We start from the raw sequence: 14,973 nt of genomic DNA on the forward strand, positions 1-14,973 counted from the left end.
ATCTTGAGCCCAGAATTAGAGGTTGCAGTGAGCTTTGATTGAGCCTTTGTACTCCAGCCTGGGTGACACAGTGAGACCCTGCGTCAAGGAAAAAAAAAAAGAACATATCTAATGGTCCCCCCTCTACATGATATAACCTCAAAAAGTTGGTAATACCTGTGAGACTCCTTTCTTCAGGTTAACATATGGGCAGTTTCACTAACCATTTGTCTCGTCTGTAGACAACTGAAGTTAGAGAGGGGAACCATATATCCACCCAACAGAGAAATGAAACTAGTGGTTAGCTGGCAGGCTATGCCGGTGATGGGAACTGTTGTTATGTATGTAGGCAGAGGTGAAACTTTAACGTCATGAGCGAACATGGACTCTAAGACAAAGAGTGTCGACAGTGAACACACAGACCAGAGGGCTTAGCACTGAGGTTGGAACTGATCTAGAAAGAAGAGGAACCAGGAAGGAAACAATCCCAGATGAATCAAACAGGGAGGAAGAATCTCAGGCACTGAAGCTAGAGGAAGGAAGGGAGAGTTTCAAGAAGATGAGAATGGGCAGCTTTGCCGAGCGTAACCGAGAGGGTGAGGACAACCAAGGCAGAGGTGCCACCAAAAAGGGGAGCCCTGTAGAGAGGTAAATTGTTGTTCATGCAAATATTAAAATAAGCATGGAACAACATAGATGGCATATACTGGTAACATTTAAATAAGCCTGGAATGGAAAAACAGAATAAAATACTACCAAAAGAGAGTTACTAGGTCAAGGGGAGGATTTTCCAAGGTGAAAACAGAAGAGTTCACTGTTGAAGACAGAGAAGAAGAAAAGAATAAGAGAAGAGAACATGGCTGGGACAAAGCCCCAGGTAGGGTAGAAAGGATGGGCTAATATCATTTGACCCCGCAATCTCATTACTGGGTATATACCCAGAGGATTATAAATCATGCTGCTTTAAAGACACATGCACACGTATGTTTATTGCGGCACTATTCACAATAGCAAAGACTTGGAACCAAGCCAAATGTCCAACAATGATAGACTGGATTAAGAAAATGTGGCACATATACACCATGGAATACTATGCAGCCATAAAAAATGATGAGTTCATGTCCTTTGGATCCATTCTCAGCAAACTATCGCAGGGACAGAAAACCAAACACTGCATGTTCTCACTCATAGGTGGGAATTGAACAATGAGAACACATGGACACAGGAAGGGGAACATCACACACCGGGGCCTCTTGTGGGGTAAGGGAAGGGGGGAGGGATAGCATTAGGCGATATACCTAATGTTAAATGACGAGTTAATGGGTGCAGCACACTAACAAGGCACATGTATACATATGTAACTAACCCGCACGTTGTGCACATGTACCCTAAAACTTAAAGTATAAAAAAAAAAAAAAAAAAACACCTATGTGGAGCATTGGGGGTTGGGATAAGCTGAAAGCACTGGAAACAAATTGGGACCACCTCTTCCCTTCTCTGCTAGCAGTAGAAAAAGCAAAACAAAACAGGAAGGCAGGAGATAAAGGCATCAGGTAGTCTGTGATGCCATGCAAATATGTAGGCCGAGAAGTTCTAGGCAAAGACAGAAGTGGTAGCTTTCTGGTCTGTGTCTTCCTTGAAAAGCAAGGCCTGAGGGGGCAGGGCAGAGACAAGAAATACTGGAGGCTTGAAGAGTTTATGCAGGGAACAGAAAAGCTGCTGCTCAGAAATGGTGAGTGGCCAAGATGGAAAAAAAAAATCACAGAGTACTAGGGAGCCAGTGAATATTCCATAGCACAAATTGGCTATGTGTCCAATTAGGACACCTCTTTATTACCAGAGGATGCCTCCCACTTGTCTTTTAATTTTTTCTCCTTCCTAAACATTGAAAAAGTTAGGCAGAGAAAGAATGAGAACAGAGGGCAAATGTTCACAATGGAAGTGCAGGTGAAAAGGAAAACCAGAGTACCTAATTTTCTAATCTAGCTAATAATGGCTGCTTTTATTGAGGAATCACTCTAAGCTATGCAACATGCTACACTCTTTTCACATGATTTCTTTAATCTTCACAAGGACCATCAAAGTAGCAAATTATTATCCCAAAGAAACTGAGGCTCAAGGCTAACTGAGCCTTTCACAGAAAGCAGGGCTCCAGGACTGCTATGGTCTGAATGTTTGTGTCTCCCCAAAATTCATCTGTTTGAAACCTGGCCCCCATGGTGGTGGTATAAAAACATGCTTGACAGAGCCTGTTTGCCCCTTTTGCCTGTGGGGAAACATACAAGGCACCATTTATGAGGAACAAGCCCTCATCACACACCACATCCACTGGTGCCTTGATCTTGGACTTCCCAGCCTCCAGAACTGTGAACAATAAATTTCTGTTGTTCATAAATTTCCCAGTTTAAGGTACTTTGTTATAGCAGCTGAAGGAACTAAAACAAGTGCTCACATCCAGGTTTAAATGTCCTTGGAGCCCACTGCCTCTTACTAGATGCTGCTTATTGAAGTGTTTGGGATTCCAGACTCTTGACCGAGAAACAAATACATTATTCAGGACATAATAGGTTAACAAGAACAGTGCATGCAGGAGCCTTGATATATCCAGACAACAAGCATCCTCATCCTCAAGCGGCTCCCCGGGCTTGAAACTCAACAATACATTGTGAAGGCGAGAGCAGGAGTCAGGAACCAGTGAGTTGATAATTCTTTTGAGACCTTCCTGTGATACAGCAAAGTCCATGTCTAAGAAGCTCCTGGGGATTTTTCCTGCTGAGTGGAAACACAGAATTTTCTCCTAAATATTTAGAAAGAAGATAAACAAGTCCATCATGGGCAGACGTCCCTCTGAAAACTCCAGGCACTGATGGAGGGTGGCTGAGCAGAATTGAGCACCTGATAAGATAATCACTACTCAGGAAGCACCGCCTCCCAGTTATTCATTCATGAAATATCTTTTCATTTTAAGGACTGTTCACCAGGCAAGGAGAAACAACACTCAAAGACAGGCAGTTCCCAGTCTAATGACTGCTTCTCAAACTGTGGAAGCCCTTGGATTAGATTCATCTGGTGCTTATCACAGATGCAGATGAAAAGCCCTGCCCCTGGCCAGCAGAATCACAATCTCTGCAGCTGGGGCTGCATTTTGCACAAGCTGGTATATGCATTTTGTACAAGCTCCCTGGATGCTTCTTGTACACAGTCAAGGTTGAGGACCACTGGGTTCAGTTGATAGACAAGGACAATACAATGTGATAAGTGGAGGGGCACCCAAAATTTTGGGAGACAATAGAGCAGCAGTGCTTAACCCAACTTTTGGAAACGGCTTTTAGTGAAATAGCAGCTATCCAGGCTAAAAAGAAGCAAAGAGCTTTCTAAATGAAGCTAACATGCTATGGGAGAGAGGCAGGTTATGTGATCTTTACTGAACAAGGTAGAAGATTAGGAGAAAACCCAAGTAATAATCATTTCTTCTACTCTTCATTGCATGTGAAAACATACTTCTAATTCTTGTGCCAACTTCTGATTCAATCAAGAAACAACATCTGACAGCAACACTTCCATAAGTCTCATTGTAATTCCAGCAACTGCAGGGCAATTAGGAACTGGGTTCCTAATTGCCCGTCTAGGTTTCCATATGTGATTAATAGGAGGCCTATAATTTAACCAACTGTTTACACTTGTCATCTGTAAAACCAGAATAATTATCAAGAATTAGGCAATGCAACACCATGTACCTCTTGATATGATGAGCCAAAAAGGACACATCATTTCTCTACATTTCTGCCAAAAATACAAAACTCGAATCTGATCAGCAGGATATGTGAGAGAACCCCAAACTGAAGACTTTTCCTAAAATAGCTGTCCTGTACTCTACAAAAATGTCAAGGTCACAAAAGATAAAGACTGAGAAATTTCTAAAGATCAATGGAGATCAAAGAGACCTGACAATAAACATAGTACATGATCCTGGACAGGATATTACACCAGAGAGAAAATAGCTATAGAGGATCTTATTGGGACAACTGATGGAATTTGAATATGGATTACGAACTGTGAATTTGACGATAGCATTATACCAGTATTCAATTTATTTCTGGTTTTATAAATGTACTGTGATTATTATGTAAGAGAATGGCTACAATCTTAGGGACATACACACTGAGTGTTCAGGGGTGAAGGGGGATGGTGCTTCCAGGGCTCCATCAAATGGTTCAGAAAAAGTAGGTACAGAGTTCTTTGTACTATCCTGGCAATTTTTGTGTGTTTAAAATTGTATCAACATAAAATTACTTGTCAAAGCTATCAGGCCATGAAAAACAAGGAAAGACTGAGAAATTGTCCAAAACGGAAGGAGACTGAGGAAACGTGACAATTCGTATCCCTGGATTGGATCCTCGAACAGAATAAGGACATTAGTGGAAAATCCGGTGAAATCCAAATAAAGTTGGTAGTTATGTTAATGTGATGTACCAATGTCAATTTCTTAGTTTTGACTAATGTACCAAGATTAAGATATTAACATAAGGGGAAACTGGAAATAGGGTATAAATGTAAGCATATACAATCTTTGTAATTTTCTGTAAATCTAAAATTATTCCAAAATAAGCAGATAATTTAAAAATATATATATTAAAACACACACATAGCAAAGGCCATCTCCAAAGGCAGAGAACACTACACTAACCTCACAGGTAAGGAGGAGGACTGTCTATCAAGAGCTGCTGTCTTAAAGCAGAGGTTCCCAAACTGCACTGACCATGGCAGAATCAAAATTAAATAGTTTACCAGAACCACTAAATTAGAGTCTCTTGGGATGGGACCACTGAAAATAGTTATTTCGAATAAGTGCCTGGGTAATTCTGATTAGTACTCGGGCTTGGGCACCAGGTATCCAGCTCAGCACGTCTCAGATTGAACTACACACAGGGATACCCTGGAGATCTTGTTAAAATGCAGACTTGGGTCAGGAGGTCTGGAATAAGACCAGAGATTCTGCATTTCTAATGTGCTTTCGGGTGATGCCCAAGCATGTGGTCCAAAGCTCCACAGATTGAGAAGGGCAATGCAACAAGACAGAGGGCCCCAGTGCATGCCACTGCGGGGCATTCAGGACCTCTCTACACGTGTGTGAGACCAACTTCCATCTCACTGAAGCCACTGGTCTCTTAGGCTGTGGCCAAACCTAATCCAAACTACATTTAGTCTGCACCGAGTATCTCCAAACATTTTCTTAAGGTAAATTTTAACTAGCATCTCAAACCACATATGAAAGCAGATAAGCATCTGTTGCCTGACTCAAATATATCCGAAACTATTAGGCATCTCTACTTTTCTCTGTTTGTATAGGTTCCTTCTTGAGTCAGTAGAAAACTACCTCAGAGAGCAGTTAAAATGACAATGATGTGTGGTCTGATAACAGCTTTTTTGACAAAAATCCCAAAAATTTACCCTTTCTTACATTTGAGTTTAAGTTCAATTAATTCTGAGCTGACCCGTATAATTCATTTTAATGATTCCTTTGGATTCGCACAATTCCATATAACTCTCGCATTGATCTGCCACCAGATAATAAAATCTGACCAGGAAAAAAAATTGTAAATCATAATTGTAAAATAGTATGGAGAACATAAAGATTGGAGTTGCCATGGTTATTGTAATTTTGAAAATGTAGAAAGCCATCTAGAACCCTATACTATATACATTATGAAACCTGTAAGTATATAATAGGTCTCAACCTTTTATTCCTTAAATCATTTGCTCTAGAGTGACTACAGTAAAGTGAGGACAAAAGTAACCATTCTGAGATAACCTATAATCAAATAGTGCATGAGAATCACACCATACAATTCTCAAGATTCAAGTTAAAGGATGCCTTTATGGGTCAAGCCACTTTTATAAGTCTTCTTGATATTTTTTAATTCAATAAACATTTGTTGAGTATTTACTACATGGCAGACAATATGCTAGACACATTGTGAATTTTACACTAAAAATAAAAATTACAATTGGCTGAAATCCAAGACTGAACCCCTCTATACTAATTTCATTACAAAGCTATTAATATAACAAAGTACCAATGCATTTGGCTGCTTCTGCAAAAAATGAAAAAAAAGGGATTTTAAAAATTAAGTTTTGTCTTGCCTGTGTTCCAACAATCTGCACATATCCATGTGTCATGGCAAGGCAGGGATGGGGCAGCCTCCACTGTGTCAACTGCCCAGGGCCCGATCCACTTGTCCCTCCCACCTCCTTCCTAGCTTCAGACACAAATCCTGTATTGACACAATCCAAGTGGATGCTGGAAGAGTATAAAAACCCCATCCATCACTGTATGTGCTACAGAAATCAAGCACATTGCAACTATTATTGCACAGATTTTTCAACACAGCTAGAGAGAGAAAGGGAGAAGAGTGAGCTATCCAAAGTCTATGAAAATTCCAGTATAGAAAGGAAACTGAAAATAGACACCCAATGCTGTCACGTTACTAACCTGATCAATTTCCATGAGTTTGGGGTAGGCGCCCGGCCATTCTATGGCCACCTTGACGATGTCCGCGGGTGGCGGCATTGTAAGTCCCCAAAATGTTCAAAGCCAGTGGGAATGAGGATCCTACAGCGTAAACGGCCACACGTGTCTATACCTAATGAGGAATGACAGAAAAAGAAAGAGAAGTCACTCAGTGCAGATGCAGGGTGAATTTTGCTTCATCACTTCCTGTTTTCACTGGTGGTTTGGTATGAAAAACGGCTCCCCTTGGTGCCTGGGTGCTGAAGGTGCAGGGGCACAGCCAACGGTACAATGGGCTCCTGAGGAAAGAAGAAAGATGGGGGTGCCCGTGCCAACGCCCTTGAGTCAAAGCCGCCAGGAGACGCTGCCCTGTGGGGCACGGCTTGCGCGAATCTTCAGTGGAAAGAAAGCTGTTCCTTACCACTGAGTTCTGCTCTGAATGGTGCCCAGGGTCTGAATGAGCCAGGCTCACTCTCTGTCCAGACATGCATATAAACGTCTGGCACTCAACAGTCTGAGGAAGGACAGATTGCCCAGGAAGTCATGGTCAGGAAGCAGTGTTTCTTTAAAGTGTTTTCTGTGTGTCACAAACAGATCTCCACACTATAGCAACCAGGATATCATGAAGAAGGAGAAACACCCTGAGAGCTCACACACATGCACACCCATACTCCCTCCCCAAGGTCGGTTCACACAATGCACCTTCGGTGGGGGGTGGGGGTGGGGCAGAAAATGTACAGATGTGGACTGAATGGCATTCAGAACAGACTTTGAATTCTCACTTGAATGAATCGTGCTTCTTACACAAAGGAGGTAACCATTATCCTCTGCTGCCTCTTCCCAGGCTAGCCCATTTCTTTTTTTTTTTTTTTTTTTTTTTTGAGGCAGAGCCTGGTTCTGTTGCCCAGTGGCGCAATTTTGGCTCACTGCAACCTCCACCTCTTGAGTCCAAGCAATTCTCCTGCCTCAGCCTCCCAAGTAGCCAGGATAACAGGGGCCCACCACCACGCCTGGCTAATTTTTATATGTTTAGTAGAGACAAGGTTTCGCCATGTTGGCCAGGCTGGTCTTGAACTCTGGGTAATCTGCCCACCTCAGCCTCCCAAAGTGCTGCGATTACAGGCGTGAGCCACCTGGCCCAGCCCCATTTCTTTTTAAAATTAATTTTTTGTTAACAATCATGTGATACAAACTTGTGTGTGTATGTGTGTTTGTGTGTACAAAGACGGACAGTGTAGAGTCTCTTCTCCCAGTGTCACCCACCTGCCCAATATCTGCGTTCACTTCTTATACTTCCAGTTATCCAAAGTCATTAGGTATCCCTCCAAACTTTCTTCAAGTATAGAAGGCAAATACAAAAATACATTATTACATTTGCCACTTTCTTTATATAAAAGGCAGCATTTTTTTTTTTTTTTTGAGACAGAGTCTCCCTCTGTTGCCCAGGCTGGAGTGCAGGGGCATGATCTCAGCTCAAGGCAACCTCCACCTCCCGGGTTCAAGCGATTCTCCCGTCTCAGCTTCCCGAGTAGCTGGGATTACAGACGCACACCACCACATCCGGCTAACTTTTGTATTTTTAGTAGAGACAGGGTTTCGCCATGTTGGCCAGGCTGGTCTTGAACTCCTGACCTCAGGTGATCTGCCCTCCCCGGCCTCCTGAAGTGCTGGGATTGCAGGCGTGAGCCACCGTGACTGGCCAAAAGGGAGCATTCTTTTTGTTTCTTTTAGTATATTTTCTAAATCCTTCTATGTTAGTACAAAGAGAGCATCTTGATTCTTTTCACAGCTACATAGTAGTTCATTGTGTGGATGTGTCCTATTTGATGAACCAGTCCCCTGCTGTGGGCCATTTGGGTGATTTCTTAAGTTTAGCTATCATAAACCAAACTGTGATCCATAAACTTATATATAACTGATTTTGCACATATGCAAGTACATCCTTACAATAGATTCACAGAACTGAAACTGCTGGGTCAAAACATAGGTGCAGTTAATATTGATAGCCATTTCCAAATTTCTCTCCATTGGACTTGTATGAGGTTGTCTATTTACACCCAGCCTCACCAACAGAATGAATTTTTGCAAACCTGACAGGTTGAAAAATAAAATCTTAATGTATTTTAAAATTATATTTCTCTTATTGTGAGTGAGGCTGAACATAAAGAGGAAAAGACACACGCTCCCTTTTTGTGAACAGTCCAAACATTTGTCCCTTTTCTATTGGGTTCTCTTGTCTTTTTTGAGAAATTGATATCTGTAACGAAGATCTTAAACATGTGCATTTGGTCCTTTACCAGACCAGAGTAGGCCTTGTGAGTTACTATCCCAGATCTCAGCAGTAGCTGGACATTACTGAGACAATAGAGATAGCAGAGTTAATAATGGAAGCCTCAACAACACCAGCAGTTATATAAATAACTAACTTCAGCGCAGCTGACAAGTAAAGGAAATGAACCAAAACAAAACCGCTACTCCTTTGGCCAAAGATGATTAGGGAAGCCTGCTGAGAAGCTAATCAGTGGTAACTAGCAAGAGCAAATCTACAAAGCAGTGGTTTAGTCACTCATTCAACAAATAATTATTGAGCCTCTGCTCAGTGCCAGGTCTATTCCCCATGCTGAGGATATACAGCAGCAAATCTGGGATATAGCAACAAAGGATATGAAGAAAAATCAAGCAGCGAAGGAAACTGAAGCCTGTGCCTCTACCAGTGTGGGAGGGGCAGGAATACAATTTTAAACAGGAAACTCAGAGAAAGGTTCACCGAGAAGGCAGCACCTGAGTAAAGACATCTGAGGCCAGGTGCGGTGGCTCACGCCTGTAATCCCAACACTTTGAGACTGAGGCGGGTGGATCACTTGAGGCCAGGAGTTCAAGACCAGCCTGGCCAACATGGTGAAACCTCATCTCTACTAAAAAATACAAAAATTAGCCTGGCGTGGTGGTGCTTGTAATCGCAGCTACTCGGGAGGCTGTGACAAGAGAATCATTTGAACCCGGGAGGTGGAGGTTGCAGGGGACCAAGATCGCACCACTGCACACCAGCGTGGGCAACAGAGCGAGACTCTGTCTCAAGCCGGGTGTGGTGGCTCACACCTGTAATCCCAGCACTTTGGGAGGCCGAGGCAGGCAGATCACAAGGTCAGGAGATCGAGACCATCCTGGCTAACGCCGTGAAACCCCATCTCTACTAAAAATACAAAAAATTAGCCGGGCGTGGTGGTGGGTGCCTGTAGTCCCAGCTACTCGGGAGGCTGAGACAGGAAAATGGCGTGAACCCAGGAGGCAGAGCTTGCAGTGAGCCGAGATCATGCCACTGCACTCCAGCCTGGGCAACAGAGCAAGACTCCATCTAAAAAAAAAAAAAAAAAAAGACATCTGAGAGGTGAGGATGGGGCCCCTGTGGACGTCTGGAGAAATCAGGTTCTAGGCCAAAAAATCAGCAAGTGCGAAGGCCCCAAGGCAGGAGCATGCCTGTTATGTTCCTGAAACAGGTGACTTGCTGAAGCCAAGTAAGTGCAAGAACAGTAAGTGAATGTGTTCAGAGAACTCCTGACCCCCTGGACACTTCCACCACACCTCTTGGTTTGTGACTTCTAAAGAAGGAAGCTGTGTGTCCCTGCACACCTATTCAGAGTGTAAATCAGCACAGCTTTCCAGAGGGCCTTTGGCAAACTATACGAAAAGCCTTAAAATTTCGCATCCTCTTTGAGTAATTTTAATTTTCTAGGATGTTATCCTCAAGAAATAATTATTAACCATAGCAATGCCAATTTGTTTATAATTCTCAAAACTTGAAAACAATTGAATATCCAACAATAGGGACTTGTTAAGTAATTATAGTGTCTTCTTTGTGCAAATGCAAGCAAACAATCTGTACTTCGGACTTCCTCTCCATAGTCTGTATGCTCTTTGAATACTTGAGAGCTCTAAGAACAATGCGTTTTATCTGTGCTACATTACTTCAGTTCGACATCCAAGTTCAATTACATATCCTAGCATAAGAATTAAGAAAGCAGGCTCTAATGTGCAAACAGATTGTGTGAATTTTAGGTAACACTATTCAAAAGAAAGCATACACAATCGTGGGGGTTAAGACAGTAAATAATAAAAATTAAAATGCATTTTAAGTACCTTGCCCCCACCTCTACATAAAATTGTCTAGAATTACAGCAAAAAAGGTCATCTAACCTTCTAGGAATCAAAGGCCAAGCTTGTTTTTCTACCCCTTTAACTGGTATTTATTTCTCAGACCGTTCAGGGAAAACCTGTTGAACAGGTGAGAATACAATAACGTGGCTCCAGTGGAGAGTCAGAGGGGAGCTGTACACAAAGCAGCCATTGAGAGAGCAAAGGAGCAAGGAGGCTTCCCCTTGGGAATTCACTTAACCAAGCCCAATTAGACCTCATCAGTTTTCCCCAACATTAACAAACCACGAGAGAAAGGGAGGGGGGCATAGCAAGGCTCCTCTGGGATACAGCCAGGTGCACAATTGCAGAATGGATAATCTAGTTCATGTTTTATCCTCAGAAGTCCAGACTTTATCCTCTTAAATTTATGTTTTCACAAGAAAACAGCACTTAAGGCTTCTATATATAATCACTGTTACTTCTGATGAAATTTAGGGAAGAAAGGTTCTAGCCTGGGCTTTCTCATTCCTGGCACAATTAGCAGCTGGGGCCATACTTCTTTGCTGTAGGAGCTGCCCCGAGCATTGCAGGATGACTGGCAGCATACCTGGCCTCCACCCTCTAGAGGTCAACAGTCCCTTCCCCTCAGTCTCGACAAATTTTCACATGTTGTAGAAGGGACCCGGTGGGAGATAACTGAATTACAGGGGAAGTTTTCCCCCATACTATTCTTACGGTACTATTCTTATGGTATTCTTATTCTTATTCTTATTCTTATAATGAATAAGCCTCAAGAGATCTGATGGCTTTATAAGGGGAACACCCTCTCACTTGGTTCTCATTCTCTCCTGTCTGCCGCCATGTAAGAGCCTTCTGCCATGATGGTGAGGCCTCCCATCCACATGAAACTGAGTCCATGTAAACCCTTTTTTTCCTTTATAAATTACCCAATCTCCCGTATGTCTTTATTAGCAGCATGCAAACGGACTAATACAGGCGGTAAGCTAGCAAATCCTCTAGGCAGATTACCGATGATCAGGGCAACCTATCCCATCCTTGAACTGGACACAAGGCACATGGTCTCATCAGGCTCTCCAGGAAAGATCAGCACACAAGCCCAACTCCTCTTGGTGAGGCATAACTGAGAAGGAAATACATTCTAAAATCTTCAGCCAACAAAGTCAGCATCCTGGTGTCCTATGCTTCCCCCAGCATAACTCTGGGGTTACTAGACTCCCTTTGTCAACTTCTCCCCACTACATCTGGAGTACTCTAAGGGCAAGGTCCACATCGCATTCACAGTTACAGACTCAGGGCCGCGGCAGGCAGGCATTTTAATACATAGCTGTTGTATGAATGCATCCCCTCCTCAATGAACATCTCATTAGAGCTACCAGCAGTACTGAGCCTAGTGTTATCAAAATTACCAAAGTAGATAACCTAGTATTACTTAAATTGCCCAGTAAAATACCAGCTACAAGAAGTTGTGTAGACAGCCGGGTACAATAATTCTTATACAAACTAAAATTTAAGAACCATTAAAGGGAGAAACAAAAGGGAAGTCTAGGCAGGTGGCTAGACATTCTAATCATCATGCCTTCCAAAGTCACTATCAAATCCCAGGTGGTGGGTAAAGAATGGGCAGAGAATGCTATACCGTTCCTGCTTGCCTGCTGGCTTGACTTTATTCCATTCCAAAAATATGGGAATTGTTCCATGTTTAATATTAAGATTCTATCACCTCGATATGCATGTTAAGTGGTGTGTTTATAGTTGAGTGGATTAAATAAAGAGGAATCACTTCTTCTAGAGTTAGGTACTGAAGTCTGTATAGCAGTAACATCTGACTCTATAACCCGTGAACAAGCCCACTCTTCCACTAAATGTCTCCGTAGGTTGGGTGGCATTTTGAAGACGACAGACAGAAATCGCTTTGACTCCCACCTAGAAACTCATCTCTCTACACATTGTTCTATGCCCCAAGTTCAACATGCCTCTTGCTGTAGTCTCTTAAAGATCTGTTACATCTCTACAGGTTTTTCCATACAGCTTAATTAATTCTTTCGGTTCCACAAAGGTCCCAAATACCTGATCACTTTTTGTTGTTTTTTCTGAATTTCCCATATAGTTTTTTAGTTTTGGGTGACTGCAATGGCTTTGAACCTTTTAATGCTCTTTGTAGTCTTTCTGTTGCACAGTAAACCCTACTGAGAAAAAAATTAAGCCTGTATGGCCATTCCTGTAGAAGCTGTGTGTTGGGGAAACGAACACACTTGCCCTGGTGAACCGTGTGTCCCCTCCCCTACTGCACTCACAAGCCCAACAGATGGGCCAGTGGAGGCCAGGGCAGATCAATGGGAGAGAAACACCAAACAGCTGGAGAAACGATCTGCTTCCACTCCTCAGCCCCTTCCTTCCTCACCAGAAAAGCTGTCCTCTGTCCCGCTAAGTCATTATCTACTGATGATGGATAATGGGTTTATAATGATGATGGGGATAGTGGAAAGGGAGCTGTTCATCTCATATTTTTAATGTTGAGTTGTCTCTGATAGAAAAAGACATAGACCACATTTTCCCCTTGCATTAGGTTAGGCAGAAAGGGAAAGGGCTTCAGGAGGATCACCCACTGAAAGCAGCCCTTCCCTCTTGGCACTGCTGTCTTCCTGGAGCCCTCTAGTCTTCACTTTTTTTTTCTTTTTCTTTTTTTGAGATGAAGTCTCACTCTGTCACCCAGGCTGGAGTGCAGTGGCACAATCTCAGCTCACTGTAACCTCCGCCCCCCGGGTTCAAGTGATTCTCCTGCCTCAGCCTCCCGAGTAGTTGGGATTACAAGCAGGCACCACCTTGCGTGGCTAATTTTTGTATTTTTAGTAGAGATGGGGTTTCACCATGTTGGCCAGGCTGGTCTCGAACTCCTGACCTCAGGTGATCTGCCCACCTCGGCCTCCCCAAGTGCTGGGATTATAGGCGTGAGCCACCACACCTGGCCTAGTCTTCACTTTTGAGAACACCGCCCTGCATGGTACACTGAACCTCAGAAGGGGCCACCGAAATAGGCTTTGGGTAAAAGTTTTGCTCTTCTCTTCTTTGTGCTACCATCCTTCTTATGCCAAACAGACTGAAATTGTCTCAATACCTTTAGTGTCTAGGTCAAGGAATACATGAAGTCGGTGGTGTGGTCAGCTGACATTATTCAGGATGTATGAGTGTCCAGGTTTGCTGAAGCCAGTCTTTGTTTCCCATGGGAGCAGCAGTGGTGGGCACATGTCCCCCCACCTGCCCTACACTGGAGGGTCTGGATGGATGGGTATATGGTGGGGGTGTCATTTCAGGTTCCCGTATCAGGGACCTGATGGCCATTCTGAAGACAGCCCGGGGCCTAAGAGGAAGTTTGTGGCTTCAGAAATGAGGGAACACGGTGTGTTCAGAACAGAACATGCAAGCACTCAGCAGAAAGAGAATAAACAGAGAATGGAATCCAGTGTGGAGGCTCAGTATTTCATTTTCTGTACACGCTAGCCATGTATGCTAATCTCAGCAACAATTCAGCCCATTTACTTGACAGGTGGGGAAATGTGCTATTAGCTACGGTTGGCTTGCAATATAATGGAAACTTGCAGAGAAAAGTCTTTGCTTTCCCAGTGTCTGGCATTGACATCATGAAGGCTAGGGGACAGCTGCCAGAAGGAGTGGCAGACAGGCGCCTAGAGCAGGCATGGGGCTGGGCACCGTGGACACGCACTTTACTCACTCTTCTTCACAGCCCTGAGTGACAGGTGTTATTATTTGCAGTAAATTAATGAAGATACTAAATCTTAACTAGTTTAAATGACTTCCTTCAAATCCTTAAATCCTCTCAGGTTGATAGAGGCCTCTTTAGTATGAGAACTGTTACAGGTGAATTGTGTCCCCCTCAAAATTTGTATGTTCAAATCCTAACCCCCAGTAGCTCAGAATGTAGCTGTATTTGGAGACAGGACCTCGAAAGAAGTAAGTTAAAATTAGGTCTTCAGGCCGGGCCCTAATACAGCATGTTTGTCTATTATCCTTTTAAGAGGAGGAAATCTGAACACAGAAGGTACAGAGGGGAGACCACCTAAGAACACAGGGAGAAGACAGCCATCTGTAAGCCAAGGAGAAAGCCCTCAGAAGGAACCAACACTGATAACACCTTGATCTCTGACTTCTAGCCTCCGTAACAGTGAGAAAACCCATTTCTGTTAGTTAAGCACCCCAGTCTGTGGTACTTTTTTATGGCAGCCCTAGCAAACTAATAAAACACAAAAGGCAGAAAGCGTCAAAGAAGAGCCTGATGATTTGATACAAGCAAGCTTAAAAACTTCTGAATT

The 14,973-nt window shown here is 43.2% G+C and overlaps 1 protein-coding gene across 14 annotated transcripts in view, besides 2 other annotated features; it reads right to left on the minus strand.

Moving 5' to 3' along the window:
- ELMO1 (engulfment and cell motility 1) overlaps positions 1-14,973 on the minus strand; it is a 596,421-nt gene that overhangs the window by 483,235 nt on the left and 98,213 nt on the right. For 12 of the 14 annotated variants that reach the window (NM_001206480.2, XM_011515654.3, NM_014800.11 and 9 more), the window contains one exon: positions 6,473-6,623. In NM_001206480.2, coding sequence (NP_001193409.1) covers positions 6,473-6,550 — 78 coding nt within the window. In that variant the 5' untranslated portion in view covers positions 6,551-6,623. Of the gene's footprint in view, positions 1-6,472; positions 6,624-6,911; positions 6,950-7,753; positions 7,819-14,973 lie in introns of those variants that run through there. The other 2 variants (XM_017012839.2, XM_006715805.2) reach the window with 2 other exon arrangements.
- Positions 6,618-6,737: an enhancer, noted in NCBI's record as "active region_25853". NCBI's record gives its function as "activates an Ori minimal core promoter by ATAC-STARR-seq in GM12878 lymphoblastoid cells {active_cell/tissue: GM12878}" and the evidence as "EXISTENCE:reporter gene assay evidence [ECO:0000049][PMID:35858748]".
- Positions 6,978-7,217: an enhancer, noted in NCBI's record as "active region_25854". NCBI's record gives its function as "activates an Ori minimal core promoter by ATAC-STARR-seq in GM12878 lymphoblastoid cells {active_cell/tissue: GM12878}" and the evidence as "EXISTENCE:reporter gene assay evidence [ECO:0000049][PMID:35858748]".

This window comes from Homo sapiens, chromosome 7 (assembly GCF_000001405.40).
Source record: "Homo sapiens chromosome 7, GRCh38.p14 Primary Assembly".
In the NCBI taxonomy this organism is placed as follows: Eukaryota; Metazoa; Chordata; class Mammalia; order Primates; family Hominidae; genus Homo; species Homo sapiens.